General features: G+C 39.6%; 1 protein-coding gene across 3 annotated transcripts in view; it reads left to right on the forward strand.

The window, feature by feature from the left end:
* The window catches only part of CNTNAP5 (contactin associated protein family member 5), an 895,933-nt gene that overhangs the window by 827,441 nt on the left and 43,586 nt on the right, over window positions 1-24,906 (forward strand). For all 3 annotated transcript variants that reach the window (NM_001367498.1, XM_017003316.2, NM_130773.4), the window contains 2 exons: window positions 12,579-12,709; window positions 16,948-17,035. In NM_001367498.1, coding sequence (NP_001354427.1) covers window positions 12,579-12,709; window positions 16,948-17,035 — 219 coding nt within the window. The remainder of the gene's footprint in view (window positions 1-12,578; window positions 12,710-16,947; window positions 17,036-24,906) is intronic.

Genomic DNA, 24,906 nt, shown 5'->3' on the forward strand with positions numbered 1-24,906 from the left:
TGAGAGCTGGTGATGGACTGCCTTGCGGCATGGTGAAGACCTGGAAAGAAGTGCAAAGATGCACAATGTATTTAGTAGAGACCAGAGGGCTGTCGATGACTTGGTGTGGGGCACATGTATAGGGGTTCTGGTCAAGAAAATGAAACAAAAGAAACAAGTATGGCTCCTAGAATTTTAACCTGAGCAGCCAGCACAGAGGGGTGCCATTATGTGAGGTGGTAAAAACTAAAAGGGGAGCTTTTTGGTGAGGACAATCTGGTTAGCAGAAACTGAAAGATGCATAGGAAGCTGTCTAAGTCTAGGATTGACATGAACTGATGTGGAATAGAAAAGAATCAACATGGAGAAGAGCCTGCTCTTTCAAAGTGAAATGGTAAAGCAAGAAACTAGCAATGCCGTAGTAAAGGGAGAATGAGAGCGAACTCTTATCCCTCAGTGGTGGTCCAGAGTCTGGATCAGTCATCCCTTTGATGATGTGAGGGCCATAGTGCTTTGTGTCTTTCCCTTTAGATCTTATATGTACATTGTGGCACCCAGGCTAACATTCTTAAATATCACTTTGTGTCACACATGTGTTTGCTGCTCCTAATGGAATCCCCCTTTACAGAAACAGGTAAAATTTCCTTGGCATTCCTTGCCAGTGTGGTCTCTTTCTTTAACATTTCATTCCAAGTTCCCATTCCTTTTGTGGGGTCACAGTTTCCCTACTTTTCAAAATGATGAGGTTGGTTGTGCAAATGGCTGCTAAGGTTCTCATCCGCTCCACTGTCCTACAGTTCTACAGCTTCAGGTACGGTGAGATCCAGCTACATCACTCTGTTTACATCATAGTTAATAGTATATCACTTTTTGTTTTCCAAACTAAGTTCTATCTTGCTTCTACAAAACTTCTTCCCAGACAAACTCTTTCTAATTACCTCCACGCATTTTTTTTAACTTTTATTTTAGATTCAGGGGTACATGTTGAGGTTTGTTACACAGTTCAACTCATGTCACAGAGGTTTGTTGTACAGATTATTTTGTCACCCAGGTACTAAGCCTAGTATCCAATAGTTGTTTTCTTGATCCTCTCCCTCCTCTTAACCTCCATCCTCACGTAGGCCCTGGCATCTTTTGTTCCCCTCTTTGTGTCCATGAGTTCTCATCATTTAGCTCCTACTTACAAGTGAGAACATGAGGTATTTGGTTTTCTGTTCCTGCATTCGTTTGCTAGGGATAATGGCTTCCAGCTCCATCCCTGTTCCCACAAAAGACATGATCTCATTCTTTTTTATGACTGCATAGTATTTCATGGTGTCTATATACCATATCTACTTTATCCAATCTGTCATTGATGGGCATTTGTGATGATTCCATGTCTTTGCTATTGCGAATAGTACTGCAGTGAACTTTCATGTGGATGTACTTCAACCCTTATAACCACTTATTGATTTTGAATTCACAAAACATGTATTCCGTAGCACTGATCAAATCTTCTCCCTTTCCCTCTGCTTATACGTCCATTCCTCTATCCATCCACTCATCCTTCTATGCTGCCACACATCTCTTTTGAGGTAGCATGACATAGTGGAAAGGGCACATACTTTATATACATCTGCACTCCTTGGTTTAAATCCCATTTCATTATGAATATTCTCATTACAGTTTTACTTGTGGAGTTTTTATACCTCTGTAAAATTCCATTTTTTAATCTGAGGATTTAATGAAAAACCTATCTTTAGTACCAGGTTAGGTGCCTAATACAGAGTAGGCACATCAGATCAGCCAGTGTGACTGTTGCTTTTGTCTCCTTCAACTAGATTATAAGGTCTTTGAAGATAGAACTGTAGCATTATAGCCATTTGTTTCTCTAGTGTCTTACACCAGCAGGCATTGAATAAATGTTAGTTTATAATTTGGGGGAAGTGTTGATAACATTCTCCATAGTGGCTATTTTATTCAACAAATGTCTTCTGGAGATTTAAGATAGCATGTCCCATGTTATTCTCTTTAGACACAAAGATGAATAAGCAACAATTCCTCCTAGGGGAGCTTAGATTCAAGAGGATGAGAAAGACAAAAGAGTCTTGATAAATTGAGATTTGTATTCTACGTGACCAGAGTGGCAATATGGTGAAAAGAAAGATGTTATTAGTCTTTGGGGCAAGTGGGGACCTGGGTCACATGGACTGGGTCTTAAATAATGAGGAGGAGCTTGCCAGACATATTAGGAGGCAAGTAGGTGTTTTCAGCTAAGGGGAAAAGAGAAACAAAATAAAACAAAAACATAACAATGTGCAGAGGCAAGGAAAAGCATTTGGAGGGATACTGCGTGTTCAGGTGTGTGACTAAGATATAATAATACATACATAATAAAGTTGGAAAGGTAAGAAAGGACATTGAATGTCATGGTAAGAAGTTGGACTTTCTCATATAGAATTAGAAAGCCTTGGGCTTTTGCTTTTTTTTTTTTTTTTTTTTTTTTTTTTTGACAGAGTTTTGCTCTTGTTGACCAAGCTGGAGTGCAATGGCACAATCTTGGCTCACTGCAACCTCCACCTCCCAGGTTCAAGCAATTGTCCTGTCTCAGCCTTCCAAGTAGCTGAGATTACAGGCATGTGCCACCACGCTCGGCTAATTTTTATATTTTCAGTAGAGGCAGGGTTTCGCCATGTTGGTCAGGCTCGAACTCCTGACCTCAAGTGATCCGCCCACCTCAGCCTCCCAAAGTGCTGGGATTGCAGGCATGAGCCATTGTGCCCAGCCACCTCGGAGTTTTTTAGGCACTAGAGTCATATGGCCACATATGTGTTATAATATTCATATTAATAAAAGTGTGGAAAACAGATTAGAGTAGGAAGAGTAGAATGGTGAGAAAAGGTAAAACAGAAAAATTATGTTCTTGTACAACCAATGTACGAGAGTATTTACCCTAAGTCCCAGCTCAAGATACTGAATTAGATATTTGAACTTTTAAATTTAATTAATGTAATTTTATTTTATTTTTCAAAATGTTTATTTTCATAGGTTTTTGGGGAACAGTTGGTATTTGGTTACATGAATAAGTTCTTTAGTGGTGATTTCTGAAATTTTGCTGCACCCATCACCCAAGCAGTGTACACTGAACCCAATTTATAGTCTTTTATCCCTCATCCCCCTTTCACCCTTACCCTTGAGTCCCCAAAGTCCATTGTATCATTCTTATGCCTTTGCATCCTCATAGCTTAGCTCCCACTTATGAGTGAGAACTTACAATGTTTGGTTTTCCATGACTGAGTTACTTCACTTAGAATAAGGGTCTCCAGTTCCATCCACGTTGCTGCGAATGCCATTTATTTGTTCCTTCTTATGGCTGAGTAATAGTCCATGGTGTGTGTGTGTGTGTGTGTGTGTGTGTGTGTGTGTGTATAAAAAAATAAAGAAATTGTGTGTGGGGGTGTGTGTATATATACAATTTCTTTATCTACTAGTTGATAAAGAATATATACCTATACACATGCACACATACCACAATTTCTTAATCTGCTAGTTGATTGATGGGCATTTGGGCTGGTTCCATATTTTTGCAATTGCAAATGTCACTGCTATAAACATGCGTGTGCAAGTATCTTTCTTGTATAATGACTTACTTTCCTGTGTAGATACCCAGTAGTGGGATTGCTGGATCAAACGGTAGTTCTACTTTTAGTTCTTTAAGGAATCTCCACACTATTTTCTACAATGGTTGTACTAGTTTACATTCCCACCAGCATTGTAGAAGTTTTCCCTTTTCACTGCATCCATGCCATTATCTATTATTTTTTGATTTTTTGATTTTGGCCATTCTTGCAGGAGTAAGGTAATATCGCAATGTTGTTTTAACTTGCATTTCCCTGATCATGAGTGATGTTGAGCATTTTATTTGGACTTTTAGACCCTGAGTTCCTGGTCCGTCATCCCCTTGTCATGTGTAGCTGAATTTCAAGTAGGATATAAATAATAATAAAATGCCTTGCTACAAGGTACTGGGTGATCCTTGGCTGAGTATTAGAGGTGCTTTGAAATAGATCCAACATATCCTACTTCAGGAGGAGTGTAGTATCTCTTCCATGCGAGGTTCTTTCTTGAAGCTAGTTATGTCTACTTAGACGTATACAGAGTCTAACATTGATCAACTTAAAGCCTGGCCAAATATCCATGGCAAGCTTGTCAGATCTGACCTCTGGATACTTAGAGCATGAGGTCCTGGGGGTCAAACCTGCAGGGAGGCACTGGTTTCTGGGCTGTGGCTCATGGGGCTCACAGGAGTGATACAAAAAGCTGTCCTGGGGATCTGTGACCAAATCCCAGTAGGCTGAGCTCTCTCTGAAGGGGCAAATGGTTTCCACTGTATTCCTTGGAGACCAAGGCATTGTGTTGGCCAAATGAAGTTGTGGGGTGGAGATGGGGTGACGAGGAAGAGACAGTGAGCCTCCCCATAAGTACCCCTCCCACTTCAACTCGTGCAGCTCTACATTTTTTTTTCTTTTCTGTACTAGCCTTCACTGTCCGCATCATTTGAATACAGTGTTGCAATTGGAAACAAATTTGAAAACTACTGGACTCGGCATATAAGGCAATCTCAGATGCATGCAAAAGAGATGGAACCCTAAACACAGGCAATAGTCAGCAGGTTCCAGGCAGTTGGTGGGAGCCCAAACCTGAGTAAATTTTCTGAGGTGTTACAGCCTCAGATGCAGGTGAGAAGGAGGCTAAACCAGTGCAGAGACTGCTCAACTCCAACAGGACCACCAGATTCTAGCAAGCTCCTTTGGCATGCCACCCTTGGGATTTTCAAGATACGTATACACCCAACTCAGGCCAGGCAGGGGAGCTCATGCCTGTAATCCCAGCACTTTGGGAGGCCGAGGCGGGTGGATCAACTGAGGTCAGGATTTCAAGTCCAGCCTGACCAACATGATGAAACCCTGTCTCCACTAAAAAAAAAAGAAAAAAAAATGAATAGTTAGCTGGGCACGGTGGCAAGCACCTGCAATAAGGAGGCTGAGGCAGAATTGCTTGAACCTGGGAGGCAGAGGTTGCAGTGAGCTGAGATCGCACCACTGTACTCCAGCCTGGGCAACAAGAGTGACACTTCATGAAAAAAAAACACCACAAAAACAAAAACATATACACCCAATTCAAGGATAACACACTCTAGGCGAGACAGTGTATAAGAACAAGTCAAGTGAATTGGTCTCTGGACTTAATAAAAATAAGTACTATGAGAGTTGTCCTGTTCCAGAGAAATTATTTTTTAGATATTAAAAATTTCAACAGCCCTTGATGCTAAAAACTCTCAATAAATTAGGTATTGATGGGACATATCTCAAAATAATAAGAGCTATTTATGACAAACCCACAGCCAATATCATACTGAATGGGCAAAAACTGGAAGGATTCCCTTTGAAAACTGGCACAAGACTGGGATGCCCTCTCTCACCACTCCTATTCAACACAGTGTTGGAAGTTCTGGCCAGGGCAATCAGGCAGGAGAAGGAAATAAAGGGTATTCAATTAGGAAAAGAGGAAGTCAAATTGTACCTGTTTGCAGATGGCATGACTGTATATCTAAAACACCCCATCATCTCAGCCCAAAATCTCCTTAAGCTGATAAGCAACTTCAGCAAAGTCTCAGGATACAAAATCAATGTGCAAAAATCACAAACATTCTTATACACCAATAACAGACAGACAGAACCAAATCATGAGTTAACTCCCATCCACAATTGCTTCAAAGAGAATAAAATACCTAGGAATCCAACTTATAAGGGATGTGAAGGACCTCTTCAAGGAGAACAAGCCACTGCTCAGTGAAATAAGAGGACACAAACAAATAGAAGAATATTCCATTCTCATGGATAGGAAGAATCAATATCGTGAAAATCAAGTTAAATAATGGGTTATACTTAAAGTAATGGGTTATAAGTTAGTATTTGCAAGCCTCATGGAAACATTGAGTCAAAAAGCATACAATGGATACACAAAAAATAAAAAGAAACTAAATCATATCACCAGAGAAAACTTCAAATAAACTATCTAACAATGCATTTTAAAGAAGCAGCAAAGTAAGAGCAAATCAAAGCCAAAATTAGTAGAAGAAAAGAAATAATAAAAACTGGCTAGACATATGAAGAAAGATGAAACTGGATCTCTTCCTTACACCTTACATAAAAATTAATTCAAGATGAATTAAAGACATAAATGTTAGACCTAAAACCATGAAAACCCTAGAAGAAAACCGAGGCAATACCATTCAGGACATAGGCATGGGCAAGGGCTTCATGTCTAAAACACCAAAAGCAATGGCAACAAAAGCCAAAATTGACAAATGGGATCTAATTAAACTAAAGAGCTTCTGCACAGCAAAAGAAACTACCATCAGAGTGAACAGGCAACCTACAGAATGGGAGAAAATTTTTGCAATCTACTCATCTGACAAAGGGCTAATATCCAGAATCTACAATGAACTCAAACAAATTTACAAGAAAAAAACAAACAACCCCATCAACAAGTGGGCAAAGGATATGAACAGACACTTCTCAAAAGAAGACATTTATGCAGCCAAAAAACACATGAAAAAATGCTCACCATCACTGGCCATCAGAGAAATGCAAATCAAAACCACAATGAGATACCATCTCATACCAGTTAGAATGGCAATCATTAAAAAGTCAGGGAACAACAGGTGCTGGAGAGGATGTGGAGAAATAGGAACACTTTTACACTGTTGGTGGGACTATAAACTAGTTCAACCATTGTGGAAGTCATTGTGGCGATTCCTCAGGGATCTAGAACTAGAAATACCATTTGACCCAGCCGTCCCATTACTGGGTATATACCCAAAGGATTATAAATCATGCTGCTATAAAGACACATGAACACGTATGTTTATTGCAGCACTATTCACAATAGCAAAGACTGAGAACCAACCCAAATGTCCATCAATGATAGACTGGATTAAGAAAGTGTGGCACATATACACCATGGAATACTATGCAGCCATAAAAAAGGATGAGTTCATGTCCTTTGTAGGGACATGGATGAAGCTGGAAACCATCATTCTCAGCAAACTATCGCAAGGACAAAAAACCAAACACCACATGTTCTCACTCATAGGTGGGAATTGAACAATGAGAACACTTGGACACAGGAAGGGGAACATCATACACTGGGGCCTGTGGTGGGGTGAGGGGAGCAGGGAGGGATAGCATTAGGGGATATACTTAATGTAAATGATGAGTTAATGAGTGCAGCACACCAACATGGCACGTGTATACATATGTAACAAACCTGTACATTGTGCACATGTATCCTAGAACTTAAAGTATAAAAAAAAAAAATAGGCCTGGTGTGGTGACTCACGCCTGTAATCCCAGCACCTTGGGAGGCCAAAGTGGGTGGATCATGAGGTCAGGAGATCGAGACCATCCTGGCTAACATGGTGAAACCCATCTCTACTAAAAATACAAAAAAATAGCCGTGCATGGTGGTGGGCGCCTGTAGTCCCAGCTACTCAGGAGGCTAAGGCAGGAGAATGGTGTGAACCCGGGAGGCGGAGCTTGCAGTGAGCCGAGATAGTGCCATTGCACTCCAGTCTGGGCGACAGAGCGAGATTCTGTCTCAAAAAAAAAAAAATTTCTAAGACCCACCAAATTATTCAATTATTTCCTCCCTGCCTCCCTCTCTCCCTTCCTTCCTTCCTTCCTTCCTTCCTTCCTTCCTTCTTTCCTTCCTTCCTTCCTTCCTTCCTTCCTTCCTTCCTTCCTTCCTTCCTTCTTTCCTTCCTTCCTTCCTTCCTTCCTTCCTTCCTTCCTTCCTTCTCTCCTTTCTTTCTCCCTTTCTTCCGTTGTTTCTTTCTTTCTTTTCCCTTCTTTCCAAATTTACTGGGTACTTACCATGGGCCAGACACTAGAAACCCAAGAACCAATGAGATATGTCCTGGCTCCCAAGGATTTTATTGATTTGTGCGAGTTAGGCAAGTAAGTAGACAACACAACACAGTACATGTTAGAATAAAGGAGATGGTAGGGCCTATTGGATCAGTTATGGGCAGTTTACAGAGGCCAGGGAGGGCTTCTTATGAGAGGGAAACTTATGATGAATTCTGAAGTATGGGAGAGTCAACCTAATGAGAAGGGCATTCTGGGCAGCGGTGATCACCATGGGCTGTTGTGGCCCTTGGGAAACTCATGCTCTTTGGAACCGGCTGAATTTAGTTTTTAAATCTGACCTCATCATTTACTGAGAACAGGAAAAGTTATTTACTTCCCAGCAGCTCTATTTTTTCCGCAGTAAAGTGAAGAAAATTAAAGAGAAAAAGCATTCTAGATGAAAGTGGAGTATTGAGTAGGTGCTCAATCATGATGGAATACCTGTGCTAAGCCAAGGAGTGTAACGATGTCTAGTAAGTGAAAAGGGATCTTATCAGGGTGTGATAAACCATCGGTTCTTTTAAGAGGATTCCTTATCATGTGTTTAAGTACTTTTTTAAATATAGATTTTCAATTTTTTAGAAAAACAGCATTTATAATATCTGTTGTTTATTTCTAAAAATAATGATGCTGGCCAGGCGTGGTGGCTCATGTCTGTAGTCTTAGCACTTTGGGAGGCTGAGACGGGTGGATCACCTGAGGTCAGGAGATCAAGAGCAGCCTCGCCAAGATGGTGAAACTGCAAGTCTACTAAAAATACAAAAATAAATAAATAAATAAATAGCTGGGTGTAGTGGTGCAAGCCTGTAATCCCAGCTACTTGAGAAGCTGAGGCAGGAGAATCACTTGAACCCAGGAGATGGAGGTTGCAGTGAGCCGAGATCACGCCACTGCACTCCAGCCAGGGTGGCAGAGTGAGACTCCATCTCAAAAACAAATAAATAAATAAATATAAAAATAATGATGATGATTTTGCCTGAATACGGGGAAGAAGAAGAAGAAGAAGCAGCTAGATTTAACTTGAGTGCTCCAACATGGATAGGACCTTTAAAACTTCGAGAGTAGTTGCTAGTGACAAAAGTTTATTTCTTTTTATACATATTTATTCCAGAAGCAACTAAGGCTCAAATTAGTTTTATTTTTATTTATTTTATTCTATTATTATTAGTTTTTGAGACAGAATCTTGCTCTATCGCCCACGCTGGAGTGCAGTGGCACAATCTCCACTCACTGCAACCTCTACCTCCCAGGTTGAAGCGATTCTCCTGCCTCAGTCTCCTGAGTAGCTGGGATTACAGGCATGTGCCACCATGCCCAGCTAATTTTTGTATTTTTTGTAGAGATGGGGTTTCACCATATTGGCCAGGCTGGTCTCGAACTCCTGACCTCAGGTGATCTGCCTGCCTTGGCCTCCCAAAGTGCTGGGATTACAGGCGTGAGCCATCACACCTAGCCCAGTTTTATTTTTAAACTAAGTTTTATTTTAAGCTAAGGCTCAAATCTCTTTTATTGTTAATTTCCACATTGTGAACATCTTATCTCTGTTTATATGAACAAAAAATGATGTGTGTCCTTTATAGTGTAGCAATGTTAATATATAAACAACAAGAAAATGATACCAAATAGACAATAAATGCATTACAGCATGTCAGAGAAATTGCATCGCATTCATGGCCAGAATATTCAATTCATTCTTTGCTTTATTAGACTTAGGGACAACACCTTCCCTCTGACAATTCACTGTCTGTGGAATTATAAACTTGCAATGTCTATCATTGCTGTCAACCTAATGAAAGGGGATGGGGACAGAAAACTCCAGGGAGGAAATGGAAGCTCACAGATGAAGCAAGCCGAGGGGGTAGAGGAAGGCCTGAGGATAGCGGGAATAACTCTGGGCCCAGGATTCTCCAGAGACAAATAGACATGGCAATGCCAGGCAAGAAGCTGATGGTGATCTGAACCACTGGAGTGCACAGCTGAAGAGGTGGAAATGTCTCTTAGCTCCCTAACAAAGCCACTGAAGAAGACGCTCAGGGAGGTGATTAATGAGCCCCCAGCTCTGACCCACATCCCTTCTGGAAGTTAGCCTTTCATGGGGTCAAACTTACTTTGAAAAGTCATGGAGTGAATTTGCTTCCCCAAGAGTCATGTGAAATGAGTTAGTGGGAGGTTTCAGAACATCACATTCGCGGGTGGAGGGATACTTTAAGAGGCACTGATTGCATCAAAGCTCCTAAGAAGGCGAGTGAAGTATTTGTATGGCTTTGGAAGAACTAGCTGAGGTGTTTTTTTGTATCACGAACTTGGATATTGGGGGAAGCTTCAGAATACTTTAGCAGATAGGAACTCTGCTGAGATTACTAGGTCCTAAGAGGAATGGTGGCAAGAGGGATGCCAGCAAACATGTATAAAATGAAAGTGTTTTCAAAAATGGAAAAATATGTAAAGAATATGTGTGTGAATATGAATTACCAGAACAGTAAGATGTTAAGAGAGTTCAACAGCCTTAAGGAATGTGGGGGTCGATCACTATGTCTGGCACGTAATTATCACACACTGGTTTATTTTATGAGGTTGAATTAAATGTTAAGACACACAGATTCTTAGAAAAGTGTGGAAGGGCATATTGCCCAGCAACCCACCAGTGCACGAGATGGGCCTTTCCCTGCCAGGGGCAGGAGGGGTACCTTGCCCGTGATCTGCACAGTGACTCGCCCCTACCAGCTCCTGTCTGCACAAAATATGCTGCTCTTGGGAGCAGCCATTACTTTTTAAGTAGTAAAATAACAAAAATAATAATATCCGGAAATCTGCGTGGTCAGAACCACAGAAAGAGAATGAACCAGGAAAACCAGGACCAGGTATAGAGAGCTTCTCCTTCTGGCCTCAGAAGTGTTAGGCAATGGCCTCATAGCTCCAAACTACATTTTTCTATTCTTAATTTATTGTTTCACATGCATGTATTCTGAAATTCTATGAGTAGCAACTTATATTTGAAATGGTCTCTGCCCTCTCCCCGCAAAAGTATTCAAATACTTGGGTGAGGACTGGGGATCAGTCAGGGACACGGTGGTTACTCACAACCCTCTTGCCTTACTGGATTGGCAGTCTGGGAAAGATGGGCAGGCTGAGAGAGTTCAGGGAGTTTTTCTTTGGGATGAGGGAATATGAGAAACTTTGAGGGGATGAGAAAGAGTTACTTTAGTTGTTCTCAGCTCAAATTTGAGCAGATACTCCTTTCTCCCCAATGGCCATCAGCTTATGACATCGCTCCTCAATTCCAATTATTTTCCATTCCCACATATGTCCAAGGGAAGAGCTCCTGCCATTTTGTGTGTGGGACTCCAGTGACTCCAGACCAGATGACCCCTACAGACAGAAAAGGACAGCAAGCAGCATGCAGTTGGGCTGCTTGGCTCAACTCTCACAGCCAGTGACGCTGGGGAAAGGATCAGATGAGGAAAAGTGCCTGTCACAGTGTCTGAGATAAAGTAGCATCTCAACAACTTATTACCCCATGGCAATTTTTAAATATAGAATGTCTTTCAAACATTTTTTTAAATTTTATTTTTAATTGACATATAATACTTGTATATATTTATAAGGTACATAGAGATGTTTCAATACATATATGTATAGTGATCAGATAAGGGTAGTTAGCACAACCATTATCTCACACATTTATCACTTGTTTTGGAAACATTCAGTATTCTCCTTCTAGCTACCTGAAACAACATACAATATACTTTTGTTAACTCTAGTCATCCTACAGTGCTATAGAACACTAGAACTTATTCCTCCCATCTAGCTTAATCTTATTTCCCTTAACAAATCTCTCTGAAGTGGCCATTTTGCATTGTGAGCTAATATTCTCTCTCTCTCTCTCTGTCTCTCTCTCTCTGTCTCTCTGTGTCTCACACACACACACACACACACACACAGAATTGATACACTTCTATTTTTAATATGTCTCCTGGGAGTCTCATATGTCTAAATTCTGTTTCATTTTGTAAGAAATGCTGACTGAGACCCAGTAAATTGATTTCCTAACCAACAAGGAATAGCTAACAGCTGTTTGAAAAACGCAGTCCTAATAAAATTTGAATGTTCCAGTGGGCTGTAAAGGGTTAAAAGGGTTAATGGACCCTAAAGGGTTAAAGTGAGGCACTGTGCCCTAATCTGGCCACATTCCCATCATGGGCATTATATATCAACGGGTGATAACAGGACTGAGTTCTCTTTCCAGTCCTTAGATATAAAAGGGAGACAGCAATTAGGAAGAAAGAGAGTTATAGGAAGTGGTAGGAATTGAAGAGAAAGTAGAAAAGATCTTAACTCTACCTTATTAAAGTTTCATGATCCAATTACAAAATAGATGTTTTATTTTCTAAACTGGCATTTTGGTTTGTGATAACACCACACACACACACACACTCTCTCTCTCTCTCTCTGTCTCTCTATTTTTGCAGCTCTCTTCAGAATTTTCTTTAGGGACCCTGATAAATATACGTGATATATTTTTAAAAATTGAATAATGGAAGGATTAAGACCTGGGGCCCTAATAATCAATTAAAAGATAATCTGATCATGTCTTTGCATTTTATAGGTGCTGCTTTATATTCTAATTTCTAATATTTTTCTTTCAAGGAAGCTTACAGGTTCGCTATCACCTAAACAAGGAAGAAACCCATGTATTCACCATTGATGCAGATAACTTTGCTAACAGAAGGATGCACCACTTGAAGATTAACCGAGAGGGAAGAGAGCTTACCATTCAGGTACCTTCCTTACTTTCTCCTGCTTCAGCCAATGTGCCTTGGCTACTCTATCAAACTTTTCTAAGCTTCTACCCCATGCCAGTGTAGTGCCTAGTGCTGGAAACATAGTTACAAATCACACTTGCCCCCAGACTTGGAAGAACTAGGATAGTGGTTCTCAAGATGTGCTTCCCATGTCCCACCAGTATCAGCATCACTTGGGACCCTGTTAGAAATGCAGATTCTTGGGCCAAGTGTGGTGGCTCACACCTGCAATCCCAGCACTTTGGGAGTCTGAGGCGGGCAGATCAAGAGGTCAGGAGTTCGAGACCAGCCTGGCCAAAATAGTGAAACCCCATCTCTACTAAAAATACAAAAATTAGCCAGGTGTGGTGGCACACACTTGTAGTCCCATGTACTCAGGAGGCTGAGGCAGGAGAATCGCTTAAACCTGAAAGGCAGAGGTTGCAGTGAGCAGAAATCACGCCATTGAACTCCAGCCTGGGAGACAGAGCAAGACTTCATTAAAAAAAAAAATTAAAAGAAAAAAAGAAATACAGATTATTGGCTAGGTGCAGTGGCTCATGCCTGTAATCCCAACACTTTGGGAGGCTGAGGCAGGTGGATCACAAAGTCAGGAGTTCGAGACTAGCCTGGCCAACATGGCAAAACCCCATCAATACTAAAAAATACAAAAATTAGCCAGGTGTGGTGGCACGCACCTATAATCCCAGCTACTGGGGAAGCTGAGGTAGGAGCACTTGAAACTGGGAGGCGGAGGTTGCAGTGAGCAGAGATCCCACCACTGCACTCCAGCCTGGGAGACAGAGTGACTCCATCTCAAAAAACAAACAAACAAACAAAAAGAAATGCAGATTCTTGGGTTCCACAGCAGATCTATTAAATTGGAGGCTATGGAAGGGGGAAAGCAGCAGGTGATACTAATGTCTGCTCAGGTTTGCCAACCGCTGGGCTGCATTAAAGTGAGGAAGACGCATGGGCAAAGAGGAAATCATAATAGGCTGTGGGAAGGCATGTGGTGGAAGCAGGCACAGGTGATACTGAAGAGGGTGCTGATCCCACCTGGGCATCAGTACTTACTTCCTGGAAGAAGTTAGGAGTAAGCTGAGTCTTGAAGATGAGTAGGAGTTGGCCACAGGGAGGAGGAGAGTGCTCAGGAAGAGGGTCCATGTGAGCGCAGGCTAAAGCTGTCTGAAAGCATGTTGTGTGGGAGGCACCCCATGAGATCTCAGTGGGCTCCATATAAAGGGCCAGCAGCAGATGATGGCAGAGCCCAACAGAGAATAGACAGAGTCCAGATCATCCCCTTTAAAATCATGACCCTCAGCAAGCCCTTGCATCTGCCTATCAATCACTCCATGTTTTTTAATCTGTTCTCCTGTTCTCCTGGTTGACCATTTTACACTCTCTCCTCTTTACTTATACTGCTAACAATTGCCAGTTTGTCTTAACTCTGAGCAGATGACTTTGCTTTCTTATTTCTTGTAAGAATTTACACTCTTACATTCAGAAGAGAATATCCGCACATTCTCAAGAGCACATTACCTACCTACCACATGTGTGTTTGCACTCTCTCTCCCTCCTGAATAGTTCATGGTTCTAGCTAAGGCCTGACCTTGCTACCTGTGGGTCAGATCTGATACCCTACTGAAGAAAATCACTCTAGCATTCTCCTTCCTCCCTCCCTTTCATCATTTATTCCAGCTCTACTGAATGGCTCCCCAAAGCCTAAAACAAATAATTATTACATGCATTAAGAACTAATATACAGACAACAATAGCTAAACAAGCAAACAAGCCAGCATATCTCTGGGTAAAGAGAGGAAACCTTTCTCTTATCTGACTTCTTACAGTGTTCCATTCTCTTTGTCCTTTTCTTGCCCGAATTTTTGGAAATGTTGTTTATATGCTTGTTCTTCATATTTTCCCTACCTTTTTCTTATACCCATACCGAAAAGGTATTGCCTCTGCACTGCAGCAAAATTGTACTTCTCAAGGCATCATTGTGCTTACCTGGCAAAATCCAGTGGTCATGTCTCAGTGTTATCTTTCCTTGTCCTCTCATTGACAACTGACATAGGGATTCCTTCCTGTTCTTGCAACTTGACCTAAGTCTTTATTGCTTGCCCAATACAACTCTCGCCTGTTGATCCTTCTGCCTGTGTTAGTTGCTCACTCTTGTCTCTTTTGTTGGTTTCCCATCATCTCTCAAAACTCTACCCCAAGGAACTCTCAGAACGCCCAAGGACTCCAGCTTCTGCTTTTGATCTACACTCACTCCATACTCATCTCATTCGATCTCACATCTTTAAATTTCATGTACATGCTGATGAATCAATCCTGAATGTGTATCTAACACTAATCCTGTCCCTGGATTCCAGACCTTATACCAACTACCTACTGGGCATATCTATATGAATATCCGTTAGGCATTGGAATATTTAAGTAAATAGTTAAAATTGACTTATTAGGAAGTTCTCCTGAAACAATGACCTCATCCCCTGCAAGCATGTCCCAGTTAGTGGCAGCTTCATTTTTCAAGTCCATAGTTTCAAAATTGTGGTATTCTCCTTTTATCTCTCCTTCTCTTACATGCAGCATCTCGTGGATCAACAGCATCTACCTTTCCCCAAGCCACCCTTGCCCTTTGCTTGGATTATCACTGTTTACAGTTGCCTTTTGATTGACATCTCCCTGCTCCTCTTTAGGTTCCCTGGCTGTCTATCCTCAACATAGCAGTCAGAGTGATCCTGGTGAAGGAATAGATCCTGGCATTCTTTTGTCCAAACCCTGTCAATGATTTCCTTTCTCGTACAGAGAAAAAGTCAAAGGTCTTCCAGTGGCTTATAAGGATCTCCATTATCTGACACCCCTGCTCATTTCTGGTTGCTTCTCTAACCTCATCTGATTATATGCCCTCTGGAACTCTAGTTGTGCCACTCTGGCCTCTTTGCTATTTGCAGAGCCCTTGGACTCACTGCTTTGCCTAGGATGCTATTCTTTATATATACTCATGTCCAGTTCTTGTACTTCCTTCTGCACTCAAATGATTCAAAAGGTCATTCTCATTGAGGCCATCTCTGATCAGCTTATTTAATAGAGCAACCTATTTCCTTGACGTCAACCCTACACCCCCCCTTATTCTTGCCTGCATTATTTTTTTCTCTCAGCACTTAACTTCCAATACAATGTATTTACTTATCAAATTTTCTGTCCTGTCTCCCTCCTCTAGAATGTAAGTTGCCTGAGAACAGAGGAGGGTCGTTCTGAGCAGACGTGCCAAAGGAAAATCATGGCAGGGGAGATGGGAGGACTATGTATGAGTCCCTGGTGGATTGCACTCAAGCTGTGCAAAGTCAGGCACATGGCTAATGGGATCTTAGTCTCCTCTTCTTACAGGTGAACTGTAAAATAATGAGGACTCTTTCTGGGAATAGCACCATATGCATAGTCAGAGTAGAGCCTGGAAGAAACCAGTAGGATATGGCTAGCCTGAAAAAGTGAGAATGAATGGGGAGGGCTCCCTAGGAATGGGAAGGGGACTGAACAAATGGAGCTGGAATTAGCCATGGGTGAAGTAAGGAGGGATCTCTAAAGGATGGTCATAGAAATAAAGTCCTACTGAAGTCCCAGTGTTGGCTTTTGCTCACCCCTGCAAGATGGGATTATCAATCGTCCATGTTGGTTGCAGCTAACTGTTCAGCTGCCCTCTCCTCCCCAGGACCACATGTTTTGTCAGACTGCAATCCTTGCCCAGGAAAAGCTCTCTGCCCACAACTAAATGAGACCAGGTCAGAATTATGGGACAATGGGGACAGTGGTGGCCCTAAGGACAAACAGAGAGAAAGGGGGAGAAATGGAAAATGAGTTCCTGCTTCCTATTAATGTTAATCTTGCACAGCAAGTTCCTGAGCAGGTTTCATTTGTTTGCTTGTTTGCAGCAAAGAATTTGGTGAGAAAATCTCTGTGGGGAGATAAATACCTATAAAACGCTGTATACAGTTTCCCAGGGAGAAGACTTGTGTGAAAACCCTTATTTCACAAAGAAGAAAGAAAGGGGTATTTTATGTGCGTTGTGGGCAAATTAGCGAGACCTGTCTAATCTCTCCTGAGAGAAAATCTCAGAGGGGGGTCTGCTATCTGTATGCATTTTTTCAAGCTATTTCCAGATGGGATCGTTTTATGCTTCTTACCTGCAGACCTCTGCTGATGTGCCTTTGTTTTCTGTTTTCCTGCAGATGGACCAGCAACTTCGACTCAGTTATAACTTCTCTCCGGAAGTAGAGTTCAGGGTTATAAGGTCACTCACCTTGGGCAAAGTCACAGGTATGTTGTTCTAGTTCATACCTTTCCAGTGGGCTTTATTAAAATAAATGAATGCATAATTTTCATTAGGGTGTTTAAGGATTCAGGTCTGGAGCCTTTTGCTCCCATAATATCTGAGATCTGAAACCAAGATTTCTTATTCAGAAAATGCCAAGATGTATCTGTGGCAGAAATAGGCAATGCATTTCTATCTACTTTATAAAAACTTGCAAGAGGTAAAATACTAAAATAATTTAGCAGAATACTTAAATTTTTACTTAATTTTCAAATATATTTTTAAGTTTTACTTAATTTTAACTTAAATGTATGAGTGCATACATTAAGGATTTGAGCAACTCAATAGTTCATCAAAAATTTTAAAGGCATTGTAATTTCCTATTATAATAGTGAATCTTTTTTTTTTTCTATTGGAAGTTCTGTCAATTTTCACTTTATATATGATGACAGTATTCATTACATGCATACAAGATAGAAATTTTTTATCTACTTGATGAAGTGAACATTTTATCACACTTAAGTGACCTTTTTAAACTTTAGTAATGTCTTTTTATGCTTAAATTTATTTTGCCTATTATTAATATGCCTATTACAACTTTGCTTAACTTAGTGTTTGCCTGGCCTCTTTTCTCATTCTTTTTCTTTCAATTTTTCCTTTTCTTTCAGCTTTGTAGGTGATCTTGTGAAGAACATACTGCTAGATTTTATTTTTTATACTCAACTGTCCATCCATTTTTTTATAATGGCAAATGTAGGTCCTTCTACATTGTGGGGCTACTTGTAAAGTTGGATTTTGTTTCTGCTACCCGATTTCCTATGTATCCAGCTCTTCCTGTGATTCTATCATATTCTTTCTGACTCTCTCTCTATCACAGTACAATGCAGAAAACATTAATAACTCAATGCATGGTAAGCAGAAATACATTTAACACGTAAGTTAGTTGCTTACAAGATTGTTGTAGTACTTACAGTGTGGGTTCTTTTTGGGGTCTTTTGGAATGACTTCCTCGTGCCCCATACTGTATGCAAATTCACAGGTAGAAGGAGGAGGTATCTGAAAAATGGCTGTGGAAAAAGCATCACGGGCCCCTGCTTTTGCTTGCCAGTAGAAAGAGCTGAAAAGGCATAAAAATGATTCTTGCTACAGCCCTCAAGCTTCATAAAGGGTTTATAATTTCCAGATGTAATGTTGATCCAGAAACCTAGCTGAAGTAGGGTCAAAAAAATGTCCATTTTAGTTCCCCAAATAGCAGTTGGAAGAACCAATCAACACTGATCCCTGATTGAGTTTATTTCTGATTCCATTCACAGTCCTAATAATAATCATTTTTATATTTTTCAGATACTGCTTATTTTTGATTTATTAATATAGACACTAGTTTATACATTCCTCATTTCTTCCTGTATCTCAGACTTTTCTATCTTCTGCCAGGCTTTATTTCCTTCTTTTTAACTAAATTCTTTTGAATTATTTTCTGTTTAAGGTTCCCTTCATTATACATACATATACATATTTACTTACTTATTTATTTATTTTCCTGAACAAAAGTTTTATTTTACCTTTAATCTTGGAAGATAATTTTGCTAGATCTTCAATGCAATATTGAAGAATATTTTCTCTCAGGTACTGAGAAATCAGTCAGAGGTGTAACGGAGCCAGTGGCACTGGCCTTTAAGAACCAGGTATACATGTCTCTCCCCAACTCTGCATCCTTCAGTGGTGGCAGGATGCCAGCTTGAAATCAGCTGTAGTAGGAGGGTTTACACTGTGGATATCAGAAATGCTAAAAGCCAGGACTTTCCCTACCTCTTCCTACTGAAGAGCCAGTTTCAAAGACTCACTGGCACATCAGTGTCCTCTTGTTTTCTGGCTTCCCCGGTTGCTACCAAGAAGTCCGCTGTCCATCTGTCCTGCTATTGAAGGTGCTCTGACCACCTCCATACCTACTACTTACAAGTTGATTTAAAGTCATCCTTTTTTCTTTGATGTTTTGCAGTTTTGTCATCACGTATCTGCTTGTAGATTTCTTTTTAAAATATCTTACTTGATATTTTTATGTTTCCTGTTCGCTATGTCATATGTATCTATGTATCCAGTTCCTATTTATTATTCATATGTATCTGTTCATCAGTTCTTAAAAATTCTCAACATATCAAATCTTGCTTCCTCCTATTCTATCTACTCAATTCTTCTAGATCTAAATTATATGAACTTAGACTTGCTAATTCTATCATCATATTTCTTACCCTCTTTTTATAGCTTTCATTCTTTGATATAACATCTTGCATTCTGGGCAATTCATTTGGCTTTAGCATCACATTCACTAGTCCTCTCCTTATTTAGGCCTAATCCCATTCAATGAATCATTTCTTATTGATTTCATCTTTCATTTCTAAAAATAATATTTTGTTCTTTTTGAAGCATGGCTATTAATAAAGATAATTTGTTGTCTCTGTTCTTTTGTTTGTTTCCATCTTTTTATGTATTTAGGCATTTCATTAATAGTTATTAAACATTTTGTCTCTGATAATTCCAACATCTGAAGTCTGTGAGGGTCCCAGTCTGTTACTAGCTGTTTTCTAAATTTTTCCTGTGGTAACTTGTTTCCTTATGCTGTGTGTGTGTGTGTGTGTGTGTGTGTGTGTGTGTGTGTGTGCGTGCATGTGCGTTTGTTCATATTGATTACAATTAATTTGTGACAACTCTAAGGATCAAAAATTAAGACACTCTCCTCAAAATAAGATTTTTTTTTTTTTAACTTCTGCCAGGTGCCAGGAGGTACTACCAATTTAGGACAATTTTAATTTCTCACTTTTTTTTTCTGAACAGAGAAGAAATATAAATTTGAGCTCCATACCTGAATGAGATCAGTCTTCTGGTTGAAGTCTTAGCGGAAATGTTGTTACTATTAATATCATTAACCAAATTAAAACACCCTTAGAAAGAGGGAAAATGTGGGCTTACGGACCACAAAGCCCAGACCTTTTTCATGGCCCCTGCTCTGTGTAATGGAAGTTCCAATAATACCCTCTTGTTAAAAATGAAAAAAAAAATCCTCATTAAATCTTACCACTGTGTATAGCATTCATATGACCCTTCACACTTTTAGCTAAGCCAACAATAAGGCTGGTGAATTGAAACTTTACAGCAAGGTACTACAGACAACTTGTTATTTTATTTCTGGTGCTTTGTAATTATCAGGTAGAAAAGAACTGTTAAGATTGAGGAGGAATACTGTATTAGTCCATTTTGGCATTGCCATAAATACTTGAGACTGGGTAATTTATAAAGAAAAAATGTTTAATTGACTTATGGTTCTACAAGCTGTATAAGAAGGATGATGCTGTCATCTGCTCAGCTTCTGGAAAGCCTCAAGAATCTTAAAGTAATGGCAGGAGACAAAGGAGGAGCAGGCATGTCACATGGTCAGAGCAGGAAGAAGAGCGAGGAGGAAGGTGCCACACAATTTTAAACAATTATATCTCACCAACTTACTCACCATTGCAAGGACATCAACAAGAGGATGGTAGTAAACCATTCAGGAGAAATCCTCCCTCATGAGCCAATCACCACCCACCAGGTCCTACCTCCAACATTAGGGATTACAATTCAACATGAGATTTGAGTGAGGACACAGATACAAACCATATCAAATACCCAATAAAATGTCTTCATTGTTCTAAGAATGGGAGACATCTGCTCACTGGGCTGCCTTCCCATTTGAACTGCCGTTGAACAGATGGAAGGATTTTGACCAACACTTAACCTTAACACTCTGGTCTATGAAAGTTCCCTAGCAGAAGGTAAAGGGAGACAATATGAACATTCAGGCTTATTATTTAGAAAGGACGCTAATCCTGGGGGACCTTTGGAACAAGGAAACCAAACCCTATGTATCAGAAATAGAGTAAAGTAGGGATGGAGAAAACAGGAAGAGATGGTATTAAAATGGCTACATGGAATTAATGATAAATGCAACTGAACTTCACAATTTTAGAAAAGATTGCTTTGTAGGACATTTCCAACTGTAAATCAAACACTAGAAAGCATTTTTCATGGTAGATATGAAAAGAAAACATACGTAGTAAATCTAGTGTCTCAGTTTTCTTCAGTACCATCAATAGCATTTCATTGCAAAGCAAAAGCAAGTTTGTTCATTTTCTTTTTGTCTGAGAAAGGAAAAATTCCTTACTAAAGAGGACTGTGGTTTAGTACATACTCTATACCAGCCACGGTGCTACAGATACTGTTATAAATAAAGCAGTTTTTTGTTTGTTTGTTTGTTTGTTTCCTGAAGGTCCCCATGATGTAGATACTGGCCCATGAAAAATAGCAGATTTAATTGTGTACATTAAAACTTCACTGTTGGTTCTCTAAGAATGTTGATGCTCAAATCCATCAAGTTACGGGATATTGCAAGGTTTATTCTTTGGTTTACTGACATTTCTTAACTTTCAAGAGAGATTACTTGGTTCTGGCCTATTGCATCAGTGAATTTAAGAAAAATAACATTAAAAGAGAGAGAGAGCACATATTTAGGGAAGTAATCCATTTGGAAGAGATAATGTTTCTGGAAACTTGCTTATTTCATTTGAAAGTATAGATGTGTATGCCTCAGATTCAAACATAGTGTGCTTTATCACTGTTATTTCTAAGTCTCTGTTTAACTTGGCCCTGTCACAAGAGCGTAGACAGCCAGGCAGACATAGGAATTGAAAAAACTTGAAACTTCTGAAAGAAACTCTGCCTTTTTTGTTTTTAATTTATTTTTTTTCTGGTCCTGTTGTCCCCTTCTTTACTCTTCTAAAATATATCAAGAAAATTTGATTTCAAAACAAAAACTACTATTGTTTGGTGAAATTAAGAATTAAGTTATTATTATTATCTCTTCTTAAAGAAGACTTCTTGCCAATCTGCAGAATTAAGAAGTAGCTACTTTTTAAACATATGGAAACAGGTTAAAGTTTAGGTGGAAAAGAATTATAGTACTGCCTTTAAACTATTGCTACCAAATTCTGAAGAGACATTAAAATGGAATTTGCACTCATGGCATGCTGATAGCATTATTTTTTTATGCAGCCAACGTTTGTTAATCTCCTACTTGCCAGTTTGATAGGCCTAAGCTCACACCTGACAGAGGCATTATTCTTCTGCTCCAATGGCTGTTTGCCCATCTAGATTTCAATATTTACTTGCCTCAAAAAAAATACAGAAATTGAAAGAATTTCTTCTCAAGATGCATAAAATTTACAGCTAATCTGTAAATTGCAGAGCTATCTGTGAGCACTTACACATGATTTTGACATGTTAAAATGAGTTCTGATTGCATCTATAGAACAGGGTTCTTTAATTCTCCCCAATCCCTCAGGTTTAAACTTTGAGCCTACTGTGTCTTGTCCAACATTACAGTATCATTGAATGAAAACCCTGAATGCTTTCACATAAAATCACTTTACAAGCATCTTGCAGAGGTTGAATTATGGCTGCCATTTATAGAAAGCACAGAAGAATTTATGCATATAAATAAAAGGTGTGTACTTCAAAATGCTCACTTTGGAAGACTGAACTCTAATTCCTTTTTGATTTTGGACACAGAGCCTTCTTATGATTCAAATCTGGGAGTCAATGCTAAACCAGGAAGCAAAATTCTACAGTGGAAGATGCTCAGCTTTTTGGAGACAAATTGACCCATGTTTGCATCTCTCATGTAGTTAACCATTGTGTGACCTTGGTGAATTTATCTAACCTGTTTATGGTTCCTTATTGGTAAAATGAGGATAGTAATACTTAATTCATTTAATTAATTCACAGAGCTGTGTAAGTATTTCTTGAAGCTTTATATGCAAATTACTTGGTATTTAGCATATACTCAAGAAATGTTGGCTTATTTTTTTCTTTACTTTCAAGGTTGTAGAAACGTAAAAGAGAACCATGAGGGTTTTTTTTTTTTTTTTTCTGTTTTCTTTTTTGTTAATGTGTCTGTCAAGGTGACTGTAAGTGTAACTTCCAGGGAGGTGCTCAACTGTGCTCCAAAAGAGCAATTCTGAACCATGGTGAGTCATACAGAATCTAGTGTGACTCATTATCAATTAGCACTGTTTCAAGGGTGTATCAAACTCATACCAGCTTCAACAATAACAACAAAAGAGAAAACAATAGTTGGTGAAAATAGAAGTTTCAAGGTGTAAGATCTGCTTCAGGTACAGCTGGCTTCAGAATCTCAAATATTATGATTCGGGTTTTTCCAGTCTGTCTGTTTCTCACTCCACATTTGACTGCTTACCGCTTGGAGGTGCTTCATTTGCAGGCAAGATTTCAGTGGTAATGAAGGTGAAATCATCAACTCCAGGTTTAAGTAGCAGCAGTTCAACATTCCATGTGGAAAGAAAACCTCCCACTTTTAAAGTTCCAGAAAACTTTCCTTATGTTAAGTCATGGGATTGAGTTTTCAAGGACCAATCCCAGACCATGGCAGTGTTCAGGTGATTGGGATCTACTGCATGGCCATGGCCAAATTATTCACCCAGCTATGGCTGTGAAGAGAGTGGAGATAGTTCAGCGTTAATTGCATGGGTTGAAAACAGGGAAAGGCTACTTCTCAGAAGCAAGTTGAGCTGTTCTTACCAGAGAAAGAGAAAGATCAACAATGATCTAGTAATGCCACCTCTTCTTCTCTTTTGCATTTTGCTCTCCCTTTTTTAAGAGGAGAGAAGAGGGTGCAGTTATAGCCATGGGCTAGGAATTGTGGCTCATTTGGGGAAAGGATTGTGCCGGTGTGCATCAACAGTTCAAATATGTTGCGGTATGAAAAATAATAGTTGAGCTATGCTCTTTTAATAAATAAATGCATGTAATCTTCTTTAGAACAAGTTTATAGCTTCCAAAGTGACTCCTCTAAAAGATTATTTCATTTTAAATGCATAGGCTTCTCAAATTATATTTCATTTTGTTTATGGTCATACATAGTTCTTTAGTAAATACTAAATCTCCAAACCACAGCCTTTTTCAGACTCAAATCCTCACATTGTGTGTAATTGCTTTATATTTTGTCCAGATAATTTTTAATGATACTGTCTGTTTGGGTAATAAAGTATTTTAGATTCGTTAATCTAATTTGACCTTCCGCATCATGAAATAAATGGTGTGTTTTAGAGCATCCTGAAATATCAGATGTCAGTAATCATCCTAACTTCCCAAACACGCATGTCTTATATTTTCTACTTTGTAGATAACCAGCACTGAATTGCAACTGGGTTAGATGGGATTTTTGTTATTTTTTTCCTTTAACAATAACAAGTTACATTTTTTCCCCACAGAGAAATTCAGTAGATGATTTAGTTTCTCCTCATGCAACAGGAATGTGTGTTATCTTCTGATTTAAGATGCAATTTTATTTCTGTGTGTTAAATGAATCACCTCATGATAGCAGTGCCAGCGTGCTCCATGCTCTGCACTGCTCTGTAGAAGTTGTCTGTTTTTTCTAAGAGTGAAACCACTCTATGAATAGCATGCCCTTGAGTTACTCATTTTATATCGTCACTTGCCTGCTCTGTCTATACTAGTGACTAAAAAAATGAATGAAGTAAAAATATCAATGATATGTTGTTTCCAAATGCAGACTGTCTTCAGCTGGGAGGAGCTGTTAGTAATCTCCTTCTAAGAGGGGTGGCCTTCACGGATTTGCCAGACATTACACATCTTTGCCTGACTGTGATAGTGAAGGATGTTTTGTGTGGTGGCCCAGAAGTCACATGACATGACTCTCATTGATATAAACTTCAAATTCGTTCTCAAGCAAAAACTATTGAGCATTACTATGGCCACACAATGTGTGAAACAAACAAATATAACAGCAAAAAAACTGTCCTTGTTC

The sequence above is a fragment of the Homo sapiens genome, chromosome 2 (assembly GCF_000001405.40).
Source record: "Homo sapiens chromosome 2, GRCh38.p14 Primary Assembly".
NCBI lineage: Eukaryota > Metazoa > Chordata > Mammalia > Primates > Hominidae > Homo > Homo sapiens.